The sequence below is a fragment of the Homo sapiens genome, chromosome 22 (genome assembly GCF_000001405.40).
Source record: "Homo sapiens chromosome 22, GRCh38.p14 Primary Assembly".
NCBI classification, from domain to species: Eukaryota; Metazoa; Chordata; class Mammalia; order Primates; family Hominidae; genus Homo; species Homo sapiens.
In genome coordinates this window covers 23,493,482-23,509,077 of record NC_000022.11, presented here as the reverse complement: position 1 = coordinate 23,509,077, position 15,596 = coordinate 23,493,482, and the positions used below count along the sequence as shown (strand labels likewise).

Sequence of the window (15,596 nt, the reverse complement as noted above, 5' to 3'; positions counted from 1 at the left end):
CAGGATGGTCTCGATCTCCTGACCTCGTGAACCGCCCACCTCAGCCTCCCAAAGTGCTGGGATTACAGGTGTGAGCCACCGCGCCCAGCAGAAACCTTTATATTTTTAAATCTCTCCATTCTCAAATATTCAAAGCCCTTAAATTCATTTATTTTTCTAGAAGTAACACCTGGCAAGTCTGGTATCTCAAGGCGCCACCCATTCCTTCTTAATCCACAAGAACTCACTGAGGGTGGGGAGCCTGGGAGGTCACCACAGCCTGCAAATCCGAACCTGGATGTAGTGAGTGCCTGGGGTGGCCGGGCTTTCTGCAGGTGTGTGCACATTGTCGGCCAAATCTCAGCCCTGAACTGAGTCCTGAGCTTAGGACTCCTCCTGGCTATCTTCTGGGAACATTGTGGCTCAGAGAGGTTAAGTGAGTTGCCCAAGGTCATTCAGGTAGGGCAAGACTGGACCCCGGGGCCATCTTGCTCTAAAGTTCTTAACCACTGGACTCTCCAGCTCTCATCGTGAGCTACAGATGTTTAGTTTAGTTTAGTTTAGTTTTATTTCATTTTACTTTATTTTGAGACAGGGTCTCTCTCTGTCATCCAGGCTGGAGTGCCGTGGCACAATCATGGTACGCTGCAGCCTTGACCTCCCTGGGCTCAGCTGATCCTCCCACCTCAGCCTCCCGAGTAGCTGGGACCACAGGTGCATGCTACCACACCCGGCTAATTTTTGCTTTTTTTTTTTTGAGATGGAGTTTTGCTCTTGTTTTCCAGGCTGGAGTGCAATGGCACAATCTTGGCTTACCGCAACCTTTACCTCCCAGCTTCAAGCAATTCTCCTGCCTCAGCCTCCCGAGTAGCTGGGATTATAGGCATGTGCCACCATGCCCATCTAATTTTGTATTTTTAGTAGAGACAGGGTTTCTCCATATTGGTCAGGGTGGTCTTGAACTTCTGACCCTCGGGTGATCTGCCTACCTCAGCATCCCAAAGTGCTGGGATTACAGGTGTGAGCCACTGCGCCCGGCCATTTTTGCATTTTTTTGTATCGATGAGCTTTTGTCATCTTGCCTAGGCTGGTCTCAAACTGCTGGGCTTAATCGACCTGCCCACCTTGGCCTCCCAAAGTGCTGGGATTACAGGCATAAGCCATGGTGCTGGCCCTAGATATTTGTTAAGTGGACGAATAAACTACCCTTTGGAAACCTGAAAGGTTTTGGATGCAGTGACAGAGGTGTTCCAATCTCAAGGTTTGGCTAAAAGCCATATGAACTTGGGGTGGGGAAGGATACACTGAATGGGGTCCACTCTCTCCCCAACTCTCCCTCCTCTGTCCTCAGAGGAGAATCTGATGCTTGTAATGCAGAATCTGGAGAATGTGTCAAAATGATAGTGACACTGACATTTACTGAGAGATTGCAGTGACCAGCCCCCAGTCTCAGAGCCCTTCCTAATTTCACGCCTTTACACCTCCTCAGGGATGTGGTGAGGTTAGAGACCATCATTATTCCCATTTCACTAATGAAAAAACTGAGGCACACAGTAGGCTGAGTCCACGCCTTCCAAACTATCTGCGATGAAGGAACTTCGAGAAAACATGTTCCAATCTGTCAGGAATGATATTTTTATAATACACACGGTCACAATGGGATGTAGGCAGTGTCAAGTTGCTATGAAAGTTACTAAATGCTTATTCTCAGTTCTAAGCGTGTCATGTTACAAACAGTGTGTGGCCCAGCACGGGTCCTTGGACCACGCACTGGGGTCAAGTCACAGAGTGTGACTGGTGGGGCCAGGATTTGGACCCAGAGGGTCTCGCTCCAGAGCATGGGCTCTGAACCACTCACCAGAGGGGCATGGATCATAAGGTGGGGTGGGGAAGGGTCTGCCCACTGTGTAGATTACATAACAAATATCCGAGGGAAAAGCGAGAGGACGCAGGCTGCTGTCAGGACTGTTCGGGAGCCTTGGGCATGTGCAAAACAACAGCTTGTCTACGGAGAGAACCGGAGCAAGGAAACGGGCCCTGGTGAGAACTATTGCTGTGGGGTTTGAATTAGGCCCCTTTGAGGTTCTTTGGGAGTCACAAGGACATTCAGAAAGTTAGTTTAAATTACTTGTGACTGTTGGATTATCAGGTCCCAGGAGGCAGAGACGGAGCTATGTGGAAGCCCAGCTTTTATCTGGGTTACACCGGCACCAATCTGGGTTTCCACACATCTCTTTCCACTCCCAAGTAAGTTACTTATGCTTATTTTATTACTTTTTATTTATTTATTTATTTATTTTTTTGAGACAGAGTCTCGCTGTGTCGCCCAGGCTGGAGTGCAGTGGTACGATCTCCGCTCACTGGAAGCTCGGCCTCCCAGGTTCACACCATTCTTTTGCCTCAGCCTCCCGAGTAGCTGGGACTACAGGCACCTGCCACCACGCCCCGGCTATTTTTTTTTTTTTTTTTTGTATTTTTAGTAGAGACGGGGTTTCACTGTGTTAGCCAGAATGGTCTCGATCTCCTGACCTCGTGATCCACCCGCCTTGGCCTTCCAAAGTGCTAGGATTACAGGCGTGAGCCATTGCACCCAGCCTTTTTTTTCTATTTTTTTTTTTTTGAGACAGAATCTCACTCTGTTGCTCAGGCTGGAGTACAGTGGCACAATATCAGCTCACTGCAACCTCTGCCTCCCAGGTTCAAGTGATCCTCCTGCCTCAGCCTCCTGAGTACCTGGGATTACAGGTGAGTGCCACCACACCCGGCTCATTTTTGTATTTTTAGTAAAGATGGGGTTTCGCCATGTTGGCCAGGCTGGTCTTGAACTCCTGGCCTCAGGTGATCTGCTCACCTTGGCCTCCCAAAATGCTGGGATTACAGGCGTGAGACACAGAGCCTGGCCTATTTTTTGTTTGTTTGTTTTGTTCTTTTGAGATAGGGTCTTACTCTCTCCCAGGCTGGAGTGCAATGGCATGACCTCGCTTCACTGCAGCCTCGACTTCCCAAGTTCAGGCAATCCTCCCACCTCAGCCTCCTGAGTAGCTGTGTACTCCTGAGTAGAGGCGCACATCACCACACCCAGCTAATTTTTTTGTATTGTTAGTAGAGACAAGGTCTCACCTTGTTGCTCAGGTTGGTCTCAAACTCCTGGGCTCAAGTGATCCACCTGCCTCAATCTCCCAAAGTGTTGGAATTACAGATGTGAGCCACTGCATCCAGTCTATTCCCAAAGAATTTAAAACACTACTAACTTGTGACCTCCTGAGGGTTCAATGAATACTCCTGGGGTTAGTGAAGAATGAAAAAACAGATAAGGGATCAGCCATAAAGTCATCCTTCCATGTCCACTGTGTGCAGGGCTAGAAGTGAATGCCAGATACAGAGGACTGAGAGGAGACCCAACTCCTCCAAATATCAAAGGGGGTCAGCCAAAGAGGATCATTGACGAGGGATGGGATTAAGAGTGATTGTATTGGCCAGGTGAGGTGGCTCACACCTGTAATCCCAGCACTTTGGGAGGCCGAGGGGGGCAGATCACCAGGTCAGGAGATCTAGACCATCCTGGCTAACATGGTGAAACCCCGTCTCTACTAAAAATACAAAAAAAATTAGCCGGGCATGGTGGTGGGCGCCTGTAGTCCCAGCTACTCAGGAGGCTGAGGCAGGAGAATGGGGTGAACATGGGAGGCGGAGCTTGCAGTGAGCCGAGATCATGCCACTGCACTCCAGCCTGGGTGACAGAGCAAGACTCCGTCTCAAAGAAAAAAAGAGTGACTGTATTAGGCCAGGTGCGGTGGCTCACGCCTGTAATCCCAACACTTTGGGAGGCTGAGGTGGGTGGATTGCTTGAGGCCAGGAGTTCGAGACCAGCCTGGGCATCATGGAAAAGCCCCATCTCTAAAAAAAAAAAAAGAATGAGTGGTTGTATTTTCTTCATTGGATTCATCTATATTTTCTACAATATCTACAATAGGCATACATTACTTATGTAATAAGAATGAGATTATTTTGGCAAAAATAAACAGTGGACAAGGTCAGGCTGCCTGGGTCTATTCCCTCCACTGGGTCAGGGTCTGTGACAGCCACAGTTGCCCCAGAATGGCTGGCAGGGTCAGCTCCTGCCTGGATGGCTGATGTCTCCTTCCAGCTCTCTGTCCAGTTTCTGGGGGGGACCTGGGGTGGAGAAAGGCAGGGTGCAGCCTCCGGACTGGCAGAGCCACAGCAGAGAGGTGCTGCTTCACGTCCCCCTGGGCCTCCGTGGCCCTGGCCCTGCACACAGCACAGCTGCCTCCTCCCTCTGACTTATTTCCTATCACCTGGCTCGCGGGTCCCTTGGGGCAGAGGGCAGGGTCCCCAGGGTTGCTCCTCGCTCTCCTCCCAGCTTCTGCCTCTCCTCTCTCTGGCTGCCTCAACGGCTGCTCAAGGTCAAGGAACAAACAGATAAACCCTTTCTCTGGAGCCAGCACGGAGAGGACGCCTCCAGCTAGAATCCAATTCTGAGTCAGGGCTAGGGCTCTCTCCTGTGAATCTGAGGACAGGAAGGAAATTTTTGCAGCCATAAATCGGTAAAAATGTTTTGTAGGCAGAGAAGAGGCCAAGCAGTTGGCTCTGGTTTAAGGCACAAATAGCAAATGAGAGCAGTCAGACCCAGGGAGGGAGGGCCTGGGGGGTAAACTCTAATATTCAGGCAGCCAAAGCAAGATTTTCTTTTGCCTGAGGGCCAATCAGGTGTTGGACGTGGTGTGGATGACGTGGACTTGGTCCCGGGCTCACCGGGATGGGATGATATGGGGGTCTGACCAGGCAGTTGAAGACTTGGGACTCTTCTAGGCTATTAGCCAAGATGGCCCAGGGGCTGGAGCCAGGACTGTGGATTCAGCGATGCAGTGTGGACAGCAATGAACTTGATGGCCCTCGTGTCTTAGAGCGATGAACCTGGAGCCCAGAGAAGTGGAGATGGGCTGGCCTGGGAAGGGCCATTCAGGCCGTGGCGGGGATTCAGGACTTTATCCAGAGGGCAGCAGGAAGCATGACAGTGGAGAGTGGCAGGGCCCAGCTTATGTGTTAGGAAGACCCCTCTGACTGCACTGTGTGTGTGGCCTGGAGGCAGGAAGGGCAGTGAGAAGGCGGCTGCCATGCCCACCCATGTTGGTGACCAGGTAGGGTGAGGATAGTGGAGAGTCCAGGTGTGCTGCGGGCAGAATCGTTAGGTCCTGCTGACTGGATATGGTGGGGTGTTGGGGAGACAGGAAGGGGCTAACGCCGACACCCAGGAGCCCCAAGAGGAAGAAGAGGAGGAGGAAGTTTTACGGGGAGGTTTCATATTTTTTGTATGTTTTTGTTTGTTGGTTTGTTTTTATGGAGAGACAGGTTCTCACTTTGTTTCCCAGGCTTGTCTCAAACTCCTGGCCTCAAGAAATCCTCCCACCTTAGCCTCCCAAAGTGCTGAGGTTACAGAGATGAGTTACTGTGCCTGGCCACCTGTATTTTTTCATCTCTTGAATATTTGGGGGTATCTGGCCGAGTCCATGGAGCAGGACACCAAGAAGGATAAGGCACAGCCCTGCCCAAAGCTGGAATCCACACACAGCAACAAAAAAGCCTGCAGGGGTGGAACTGTAGGCTTTAACTATGAGCATATTGGGAGTTCAAAGGATTAGGGAGCCTGGAGGGATGTGGGTGACAGGCCTATTTGGAAGGGTCAGTGGTAAACAGCTGGAGGACAAGGACCTGGCTTCTGTACCTTCCACGTTCCCTCTTCGCGTGGCCCTGCTCTGTGCCGGGCAGGTTGTCCCAGCTCCACAGCCTGACCTTGCTGCCCACTCCAGCCTCAGTAGCTTCTCCTGTGCTCTGGTGGGCCTCCCCCTCTGAAGTGACTGCCAGAATGTGACTGGATGGTCCTCAAGAGGCCTCTTGCCTCTTGTCCTCTGTTGGGAATACCTTCCCTTCCCCGCTAGCCCAGGTGTCTCCAACTCATTCTCCTGTCTCAGTGTAGGTTTCTTCCTCCTAGAAGCCTTTCCTAGCCCCGAAACTGGGCTGGGTGCACCTCTCCTATGCTGAAGAAATGTTCTTTGGATGGAAGGATGAATGGATGGAGGGATGGGGGATGGAGGGATGGAGGGATGGAGGGATGGGGATGGTGGAGGGATGGAGGGATGGGAATGGTGGATGGAGGGATGGGGGATGGGAGGATGGGGGATGGAGGGATTGGGGATGGAGGGTGGAGGGACAGGGATGGAAGGAGGGAGGGATGGAGGATGGAGGGACAGGGGATGGAGGGACAGGGATGGAAGGAGGGAGGGATGGAGGATGGAGGGACAGGGGATGGAGGGGTGGAGGGGTGAAGGAGGGGAGATAGAGGATAGAGGGATTGAGGGATGGAGTGGAGGGATGGGGGATGGAGGGATGGGAGATGAAGGGATGGAGGGATGGAGTATGGAGGGATGGGGGATGATGAGATGGGGGATGGCAAATGGAGGGGTGGGAGGATGGAGGAATGGCAGATGGAGGGATGGGGGATTGAAAGATGGGATTGAAAGATGGAGGGATGGGGAATGGAGGATGGGGGATGGAGGGATGGGGATGGGAAGATGAAGGGATGGGAGATGGGGGATGGAGAAATGGGGGATGGGGGATGGAGGAATTAGAGGATGGCAGATGGAGGGATGGGGGATGGGAAGATAGGGAATGGAGGGATGGGGGATGAGAGGATGGAGGGGTGGGGGATGGGAGGATGGAGGGATGGGGGATGGAAGGAGGGGGAGGGGGATGGGAGATAGAGGGATGGAGGGATCAGGGTATGGAAGGATGGGGGATGAGAGATGGGGGATGGAGGGATGGGGGATAGGGATGGGGGATGGGGGATGGAGGATGGGAGATGGAGGGATGGGGATGCAAGGTGAATGGATGAATTAATGAACGAATAGACGGGGGGTGACTGGAGATCTAGATAGACAGGCAGATGATGGATGGAAGGGCACACAGGCAGGTTGGGCAGGTGGAAGGGCAGGGGAGGAGTGGGCTGGACAGAGGAAAGGGCAGGTGGTGGGTGGTGGAGGCAATGGGTGGCAGAGGCAGTGGGTGGCGGAGGTGGAGGCAGTGGATGGAGGTGGTGGGTGTTAGAAATGGTGGGTGGTGGAGGTGGCGGGTGGAGATGGCGGGTGGAGGTGGTGGGTGGAGATGGCGGGTGGTGGAGGTGGCGGGTGGCGGGTGGCAGAGGTGGTGGGTGGAGGTGGTGAGTGGAGGTGGCGGGTGGTGGAGGCGGTGGGTGGAGGTGGTGGGTGGAGGTGGTGGGTGGCGGGGTGGATGCATGGAAAGGAGACAAGGTTGGCTCAGGCAGGCCGAGGTGTGCCCTATCTCTACATTCCCCGCAATGTGGATGGGCGGAATGAGTAGGAATCTTCCTCTCCTGACTCCTCCTCAGACCTCTCAGCTTCCTCAGAGTACACCCTACACTGAAAGGGACCCACTGGGCACTGCAGAGATGTAACTGGCACCAGGAACCTCCCTCCATCTTACCCCTGTCCCACAACTCTTCACCTGTGGGTGCCTTTTTGCCAACTGGTCTGATTACTGGCGAGAACCTGGTGTTTGGGGATGAAAGAAGTTCAGGTCTCTACAAGTCCATTTTCTTCCTGCTTCCTTTCTCGCCTTCTGCCTCCTCCTTCTCCTCCTCCCATGTCTTTCCAGCAAAGCACAGGATACCCAGATGGCTTGGGCCAGACTGAAGGCACAGCCGTAGCCAGCAACCAGCCACCTGAGCCCTGCTGCCTTGGGCCCCAGTCGGCCCAGCCAGTGCGGGTCTCTGCTGCCTGGTGCCCACCCCACCCACCCACCCAGCAGCTCCCATTTTCAGCTGCCAGGATCTTCAGAGCCGATTTGATCAGCTGCCAGATCTCCCAATTGTCAGCTGCAACGTTAACCTCTTTAAGAGAGCACCCGAGGCGATCTTTAAGCTAGGAGGCTGGAGCCCCATGCTAATGGAGCCTGCTCCGAGCTCACAGCTCTGCCTCCTGCCTCCCCAGCCTTGGTTCTGGGAGCCTGTGGCCCCCACTCTTCAGGCTGGACAGCAGCAGGACTATTTTTTGAGCCTGGGTGAAGCGGGGCTTTGCCAGCTGAGATCAGTCCCTACAGCAGCCCCCACCAGGGAGCCCCAGGAAGGAGGGGAGGGGCCTAACCCAGAGAGGGAGTGGATAAGTATTTGTTAACTGAATGGCTGCATGAACCTCCAAAGCTGCCTAAGAGGCGAGTGCTGACGGCGCTTTCTGCCCTGCCGTCACCTTCAGGGGGAGATGCTCAGGGTAGGGACATGGGCAAAGGTGCCAAACTCTGGAGTCAGACCAAGGTGCCTGGGCTGGTGTCCCAGATCTAGCATGTGAAAGCTGTGTGACCTTGGAGAAGTTGCTGGCCGTCTCTGAGCCTCGGCTTTCCCATCAGTGAAACATGTGTGCTAGGGGAGAGAATACCAGCTGCGTAGAGTTGTTGGGGAATCCAGTGAGATGAAGAGATGGGAACACCTGCTACCTTGCAGATACATAGTAGGTACTCAAGGAAGTCAGTCCCTTCCTCTTCTCCCCTCCCTTCCCTCTCCCCTCCACCTTCCTTCTCCTCCCCCACTTCCCTCTCCCCACCCAGGGCTTTCTATTCCCTGTCACTGAAGGGTTGAAGGGCTGTCACCTTGTCTAAAGCCTCCATGTTTTCCCTTCCAACCCTCAGAAGGACAGGGGCGATTATTCTTACTTCTCCATTGTCCAGGGCCACACAGCAGGCCGGAAGCAGATGCGGAGGCCGCCCAGTTCCAGCCCAGCTTGTCCTGCTAGTGCCTGGTCCCAGGACTGGCTCAGGTGCCCATGGCATTCTCCCCTGTGCCCTGATAATCGATGTCCCTTTGCAGGTTGGTGAGGCTCTGAGAGTGGGCTAGTGGCTTGTTTTTCCACATTTTTGAGGCCTCTCTCGGGACTGAAATACCCAGGTGGAGAAGTGAAGTGACTCGGGAAAGGAAGGAAAAGAACCCAGAGTCCAATTCCCACCCAAGTGGAGGTGAGGCGGGAAGAGGGGAGCTGAACTCCTTATGTGGGAGTTGCAGCCTTGGTGGGACCTGTCAGAACTGGTGTGCTAAGCCAGGGGTGGGAGTTGGTGACTTCCACAGGGACAGCATCAGCAGCCAGCTCACAGAAGCATATGTTTCAGAACCAAAAGGTGTAGAGCAAGGCTCAGAATAGAAATAAAATGAATGGATGGTGTACCATCACACACAGTGTACCTGTTTGTGTGCGTGTGGACAGTGTGCACCGGCGTGACACTGTGTCTAGTGTGTGTGTGCACAGTGTACCTGTGCGTGTGCGTGTGGACAGTGTGCACCGGTGTGACACTGTGTCTAGTTTGTGTGCACATGTGCACACGCGTCTAGACTGCCTGAGTCCAGCCATGCGTCCTTCCCCATGGGTAAGGAGGAGGAAGCCAGGGGACAGATCCTGGCATGGGGACAGAGTCGCTGGCTGTTGAGATGTGCCAAGTCCGCCAGCCTGGAGGCCAAGGTCCTAGCCCTGGCCCTTTCCTGCTGTGGGGCCCTGGCCCTGGCCCTTTCTTCTCTGTGCCTCCATGGACGACAGGTTACATGAAACTCCCCGGAGCAGAGTGCACCTGAGGAAAACTGCGGTTTCCCTGCCAGCCCAGAGGTTCATTCTGCCGATGGGGGGTGGGGGTGGGGGGGCAGGAATGCCAGGAATGGGCATTTAGCAAATCCTCCTCCTTCCCCATGCAATTTTTGTCATGCTCCTGGGAGCTGTGACACTTGGGGACCTGGCCCCTCTGAGCCTGTTTTCCCACCCACCAGGTGGGGATAAAAACAGGACTGCCCCAGGAGGTCACTGTTAGTCAATGAGCTGGGGCTCCAGGAAGGCCTGAAGCACAGTAGGTGCTTCATCCCCGGGCACTGGGGTTGCTCCTGCTGTGCCCAGGGGTGGCGAGGCTGCCAAAGATGCGGGAAGGGTCTGCAACCAGAGTAGGGTGGGCGGGGCTCTGGGGCCTCCGGATGGCAGGGACCCTTTTCCAACACAAGCTGCACCTGGGCGGGGATGCATAGCTGGGTACCTACAGGGAAGGTGTGAGGTCGTGAGGCCCAGAGCCACCCTCCTCCCCTGAGAACGTGGTCTCAGCCTCGCCGCAGTGTGTGTGAAGCACCCCCTGCTCCTTCCAGGAACTGGAGGTCCTCCCACCCCATTGCTTGCTCCTTGGTCTGAGCATCACAAGAGAGAGATGATGTGGTTTGGGCAGGGACTCCTACACAGAAGAAGAAAAGAAATCCAGAGATGTTGCTCCCTCTGACCAAGGTCACAAGCGAGTCCAGGCTGAGGCGAGGCAGGGCTTTTTGACTCTGCCACCCAGTGGGACCCAAATCCATGGGGAGCTGTGTGGTCTCGGGCGGGACAAGTCAGCCAGAAGCAACTTGGAGAAAATTGACTCTTCAATCATTTATTTATTCAACAATTATTCATTGGGAGGCCGAGGTGGGTGGATCACTGGAGGTCAGGAGCTCAAAAACCAGCCTGGCCAACGTGGTGAAACCCCGTCTCTACTAAAAATACAAAAATTAGCTGGGCGTGGTGGTGTGCACCTATACTGCCAGCTACTCAGGAGGCTGAGGCAGGAGAATCGCTTGAACCCAGGAGGCAGAGGCTGCAGTGAGGTGAGATCACGTCACTGCACTCCAGCCTGTGTGACAGAGTGAGACTCCGTCTCAAAAAAGAAAAAAAAATATATGTATATGTATATATATGTATGTATATATATGTGTGTATATGCATATATGTATATATGTGTGTGTATATATATATATATAGGGCCTGTTGTGAGGCAGTAAAACCCAGGAGGCCAGAAGGTAGACACTAAGGAAGGGGCTAAAAATCCAGGCGTGGGCAGGACAAGCACTCCCTGCGGTTGTTCCCTGGGTCGCAGTTTTGTGTTTTGTTTTGTTTTTGTGAGATGGGGTCTCACTCTGTCTCCCAGGCTGGAGTGCAGTGACGCAATCACAGTTCATGGCAGCCTTGACCTCCCCAGGCTCAGGTGATTCTCCTACCTCAGCCTCCTCAGTAGCTGGGACTACAGGCATGTGCCAGCACACCCAGCTAATTTTTGTATTTTTCATAGAGATGGGGTTTTGCCATGTTGCCCAGGCTTGTCTCAAACTCCTAGGCGAAAGCAATCGGCTCTTGTCAGCCTCCCAGAGTGCTGGGATTACAGGTGTGAGCCACGGTGCCTGGCTTCCCTGGATCACTGGATAAGACACCTAAGTGTTTTTGTGACTTAACTTGCTTATCTGTAAAGTGGGGGTAAGAACAGTCCCAGGGGCTGGTGAGGGTTGTCATGCACATGGCATGGGGCCTGGCACAGGAAAAATGCTGGATGGAAGAGGCTGGTAGTGCTGTGCTATCAACAATGAGGACACATTTGCAGGTTTCCACAGTACGAGTCGCAGTGTGGGACAGGAAAGGGTATCAGATGAAGAGGAGGGCATCCAGAGGGAGGAGGGATCGAGTCCTTCTAGGGAGGTTGAGGGGCACCTGAGCAGGGCATTGAGGGCTGTATAGGAGTTCATCATACTAAGAACTGGGAGAAGCTCAGCTACTGGAAATTCCCAAAAGGGCTTGAAGGAACTGGTGCCAGCCTTGCTGGGACTGCAAGAGCCCCGGAGGGTCAGAGGGGAAGCCACTCTAAGAGTCCCTACTGCAGTCCTCTGAAGGACTTCCTGTGGCAGATGGGCCTCTGCTCTCTTCTCTGACTGTTTTCCACCCTCTGGGGGAAAGGGGGTGAACCACCCAGACATTCGGCTGGAACTACTGAGGCAGACCCCAGAAAGGGCAAGTCTGCTACCTTGTGTAGCTCAGCATCCTGATGCCTGGAGGTCCCCCCATTCAGTCACCAGGGGACAGAACAGTGTGTGGGCTGAAGCCAGGCAAACAGGGTTCAAAACCCAGCTGTGCCACCTGCAATCTATGGGGCCCTGGGCAACCTTCATCTCTCCTTGCCTCCCTGTTCTCATCTGTAAAATGGGAAGAATGATTCTATCTGCTTCATAGGACCAGAGTAGGGATTCCATGGATTCATGCCTGACATAAAGAGCTCAGCCCAGCATCCCTGGCACATAGTAAGTGCTCAATAAATGCTAGCCCCTTCCCAGCATCGACTGAACTCCTGTCCTGAGCTGGCTGTGGAGACCCCATACAAGATAAAGAGAAGAGGCTTGTTGTATTTGGGGCTAAGGCTCTGTTCACTTTCTGATCAACAATGTGTATTCTTACTGTTGCATCAACAGTATTAAACAAAAAAGAAAAAATTAAAATAATGTGTATTCCATCTCCTGTCAAACTGGGCTCCCCACACCTCTGGCCTCCTCACCCTGCCTCTCTGCTGGGCCCAGGGCCCCCTTCCTGCATCCAGGGAGCTCACTCTAGCAGGGTCCTGGCCACACCGCATCTTCTCAGTCTTTGAGCTTGGAAGGCCTTAGGGAATGTGAAGTCCAGCCCCTCCGCAAGTACCCACATATGGAACTGGGGCTCGGGAGTAAAGACACTCACCAGAGGCTGAGACTTGAAGTCCAGTGCCCCTGCCCAGGTCCTTAGATCACTACTGCTGTGGGAATTTTGAGAGGAGCCCCTTGGCGTAGGATAAGCTGCTGTCCCTTGGGCTGGAGCTCCATGAGGGCAGGGACGATGGCTCTCTTGCTTACTTTGTGGCCCCTGGGCCCAGCACAAAGCCTGGAACCTGCGAATGAAAAAGTGAATGAGCGAATGAATGAATGTGGCCAGAATCCATCTGCCTCCCAGAGCAGGATCCCAAGAGAAGCCCACTTTGGTCCCAGCCCCTGTGGGGTCACCAGCCCCAGCCCAGCAGACGGGGTTGCCAATGGCTTAGAGGCTTCCAAGAGTCTTCTGACAAAAGGATCAAAGGAAGCAGATGACAGAAGGGCAGGAAAGGGCTGAATGGTGGGGTGGGGGTGCCGAGCCCCCTGCCCAGGCCAGGGTGAAAGAGGTTCAGGAAAAGGACAGAGACAGATCAGCCAGTGCAGGGGTGGGGGTGACAGGATGCGGGTAGAGGGCTCAGCCACTTCCCTTGGCACAGAGGATAAACTGATGGCTTCCTCTCAGCCCAGGACTCTCCTTTCTGCTTCCAACCACAGCACCTAGTCCTGGGCCCGGCCCCTGGAGGGCACTTGGAAAACGTTTGTGGATTCACTGTGCATGAATGAATGAATGAATGATTCGGTGGCTCATGACAAATGCCAGCACTTTGGGAGGATTGCCTGAGGCCAGGATTTCAAGGCCAGCCTGGGCAACATAGCAAGACCCCTGTCTCTACAAAACATTTTTTTTTGAAGTTTTATTTCATTTTATTTTTATTTTATTTATTTTTATTATTATTATTATACTTTAAGTTTTAGGGTACATGTGCATAATGTGCAGGTTTGTTACATATGTATACATGTGCCATGCTGGTGTGCTGCACCCATTAATTCATCATTTAGCATTAGGTATATCTCCTAATGCTATCCCTTCCCCCTCCCCCCACCCCACAACAGTCCCCAGAGTGTGATGTTCCCCTTCCTGTGTCCATGTGTTCTCATTGTTCGATTCCCATCTACGAGTGAGAACATGGTGGTGTTTGGTTTTTTGTCCTTGCGATTCTACAAAACATTTAAAAACTATATTAGCTTGGCTGGGCACAGTGGCTCATGCCTGTAATCCCAGCACTTTGGGAGGCCGAGGTGGGTGGATCACCTGAGGTCGGAAGTTCGAGACCAGCCTGACCAACATGGTGAAGCCCTGTCTCTACTAAATACAAAAAATTAGCTGGGTATGGTGGCAAATGCCTGTAATCCCAGCTACTTAGGAGGCTGAGGCAAAAGAACTGATGAACCTGAGAGGCGGAGCTTGCAATGAGCTGGATCACACCATTGCACTCTAGCCTGGGTGACAGAGTAAAATTCTGTCTCAAAAAAAGAAAGGAAGGAAGAGAGGGAGGAAGGGAGGAAGTGAAGAAGGAAAGAGAAAGAACTTTTATCAGCCATTCCTTACCTTTCCAGTAGTCAGTTAGTGTGGGTCAGTCCAGTGGATTTTGACATGAAAGGACAGAGCAAACTCCTGTTGTAGTTTCAGGGAGCCCATTAACAATAACAATTGGCCAAATAAGACTCTTACTACAGCCAGTGGCTATTGAACAATCGCTAGATGCCAGGTGCTCAAAATATCTCTGTGTCATAGCCCCATTATCTCAATGACTCCTTGCCATACTCTAAGAGGGCAGTGCTAGCCCCATTTTACAGATGAGGCAACTGAGGCTAAGAGAAGAAGGATGCTGCTCTAGATCACCCAGAAAGTAAATGACGGAGGTGGAGAGTGAAATTCCTCTAGCCCTGCGTAAATGAATGAATGGCTAGGTGAATGAACGACCCATTCTACAGCATTCACCATGATTCCCTGCCACACCACGCCCTTCACTGGGCCCGAGTTCTATGGCAACAAATGAAATAATCACAGTCCCTGCTGTCACGAGATTCCTTGCCTGGAGGGCAGCACTCCACCCAAATAATGAATTCATCATGATTTTGGAAAGTGCTAGAAAGGAGAAAGCCAGAGTGCGTAGGGCGTGCAGGGGACCTGCCCAGTCTTAGGGGCTCAGAACAGGCCTAGAGTGCCAACTGCTGGATGGGAGGATGTTGCCTGCTGGGAGGTGTGCGCAGGAGGCAGAACGTCAAGATCTGTGGCATGGATTAGAAAAGCAATAATCTGCTGGGCGTGGTGGCTCACGCCTGTAATCCCAGCACTTTGGGAGGCCGAGGAAGACGGATCAGGAGGTCAGGAGATTGAGACCATCCTGGCTAACACAGTGAAACTCCGTCTCTACTAAAAAAAATACAAAAAAATAGCCAGGTGTGGGGGCGGGTGCCTGTAGTCCCAGCTATGCAGGAGGCTGAGGCAGGAGAATGGCGTGAACCTGGGAGGCGGAGCTTGCAGTGAGCGGAGATGCGCCACTGCACTCCAGCCTGGGTGACAGAGCGGGACTCCTTCTCAAAAAAAAAAAAAAAAAAGCAATAGTCGTAGTCGTCATTGGAGCAGGCACTGTCCTTTGAGCCATTTCTCCCCACAAGCACCTTACATAGGTTATTTTATAAATCTTTACAATAAGATGGAGACATGGTTCCCCATATCATTCCCACTATAACTGGAGAGATGGAGACTCACATAGCTGCTAAGAGGAAGAGCCAGGGTCTAGGTCTGTCTGATCTGGGGTCTCAGCTCCTGATCCTGAACCCAGTGTCTACAGGGCAGAGAGACCCTCCCGCTCAGCTCCTGGGTGAGCTGGCCCTGCTGGGACTCAGTGTGCACTGGAGGTCATGCTTCTCCTTCCTGTCACCCACCAGTTTTCCTTGGGCTGGGGGAGCTTCAGGTGCTGCGAGGAAAATTTAGAGAGGGAACATTTCTGAGCTTAAATTGGCTGGCACTGCCTTAGGAAGGGTTATGCAGGATTTTCAGGTGGACCACGAGCAAATGATTACACGGCCCCATGTGCTTTCGCAGGAGGAGTCAACCTGGAAGAACTGATTGTTTCTGGGCCCTAAA

The 15,596-nt window shown here is 52.9% G+C and overlaps 2 annotated features.

Annotated features, from left to right (window-relative positions):
• Positions 9,107-9,854: an enhancer, noted in NCBI's record as "H3K4me1 hESC enhancer chr22:23841411-23842158 (GRCh37/hg19 assembly coordinates)". NCBI's record gives its function as "activates a minimal SCP1, AML or CMV promoter by ChIP-STARR-seq in primed H9 embryonic stem cells {active_cell/tissue: H9 hESC(primed)}" and the evidence as "EXISTENCE:reporter gene assay evidence [ECO:0000049][PMID:30033119]".
• Positions 14,336-14,836: an enhancer, noted in NCBI's record as "H3K4me1 hESC enhancer chr22:23836429-23836929 (GRCh37/hg19 assembly coordinates)". NCBI's record gives its function as "activates a minimal SCP1, AML or CMV promoter by ChIP-STARR-seq in naive H9 embryonic stem cells {active_cell/tissue: H9 hESC(naive)}" and the evidence as "EXISTENCE:reporter gene assay evidence [ECO:0000049][PMID:30033119]".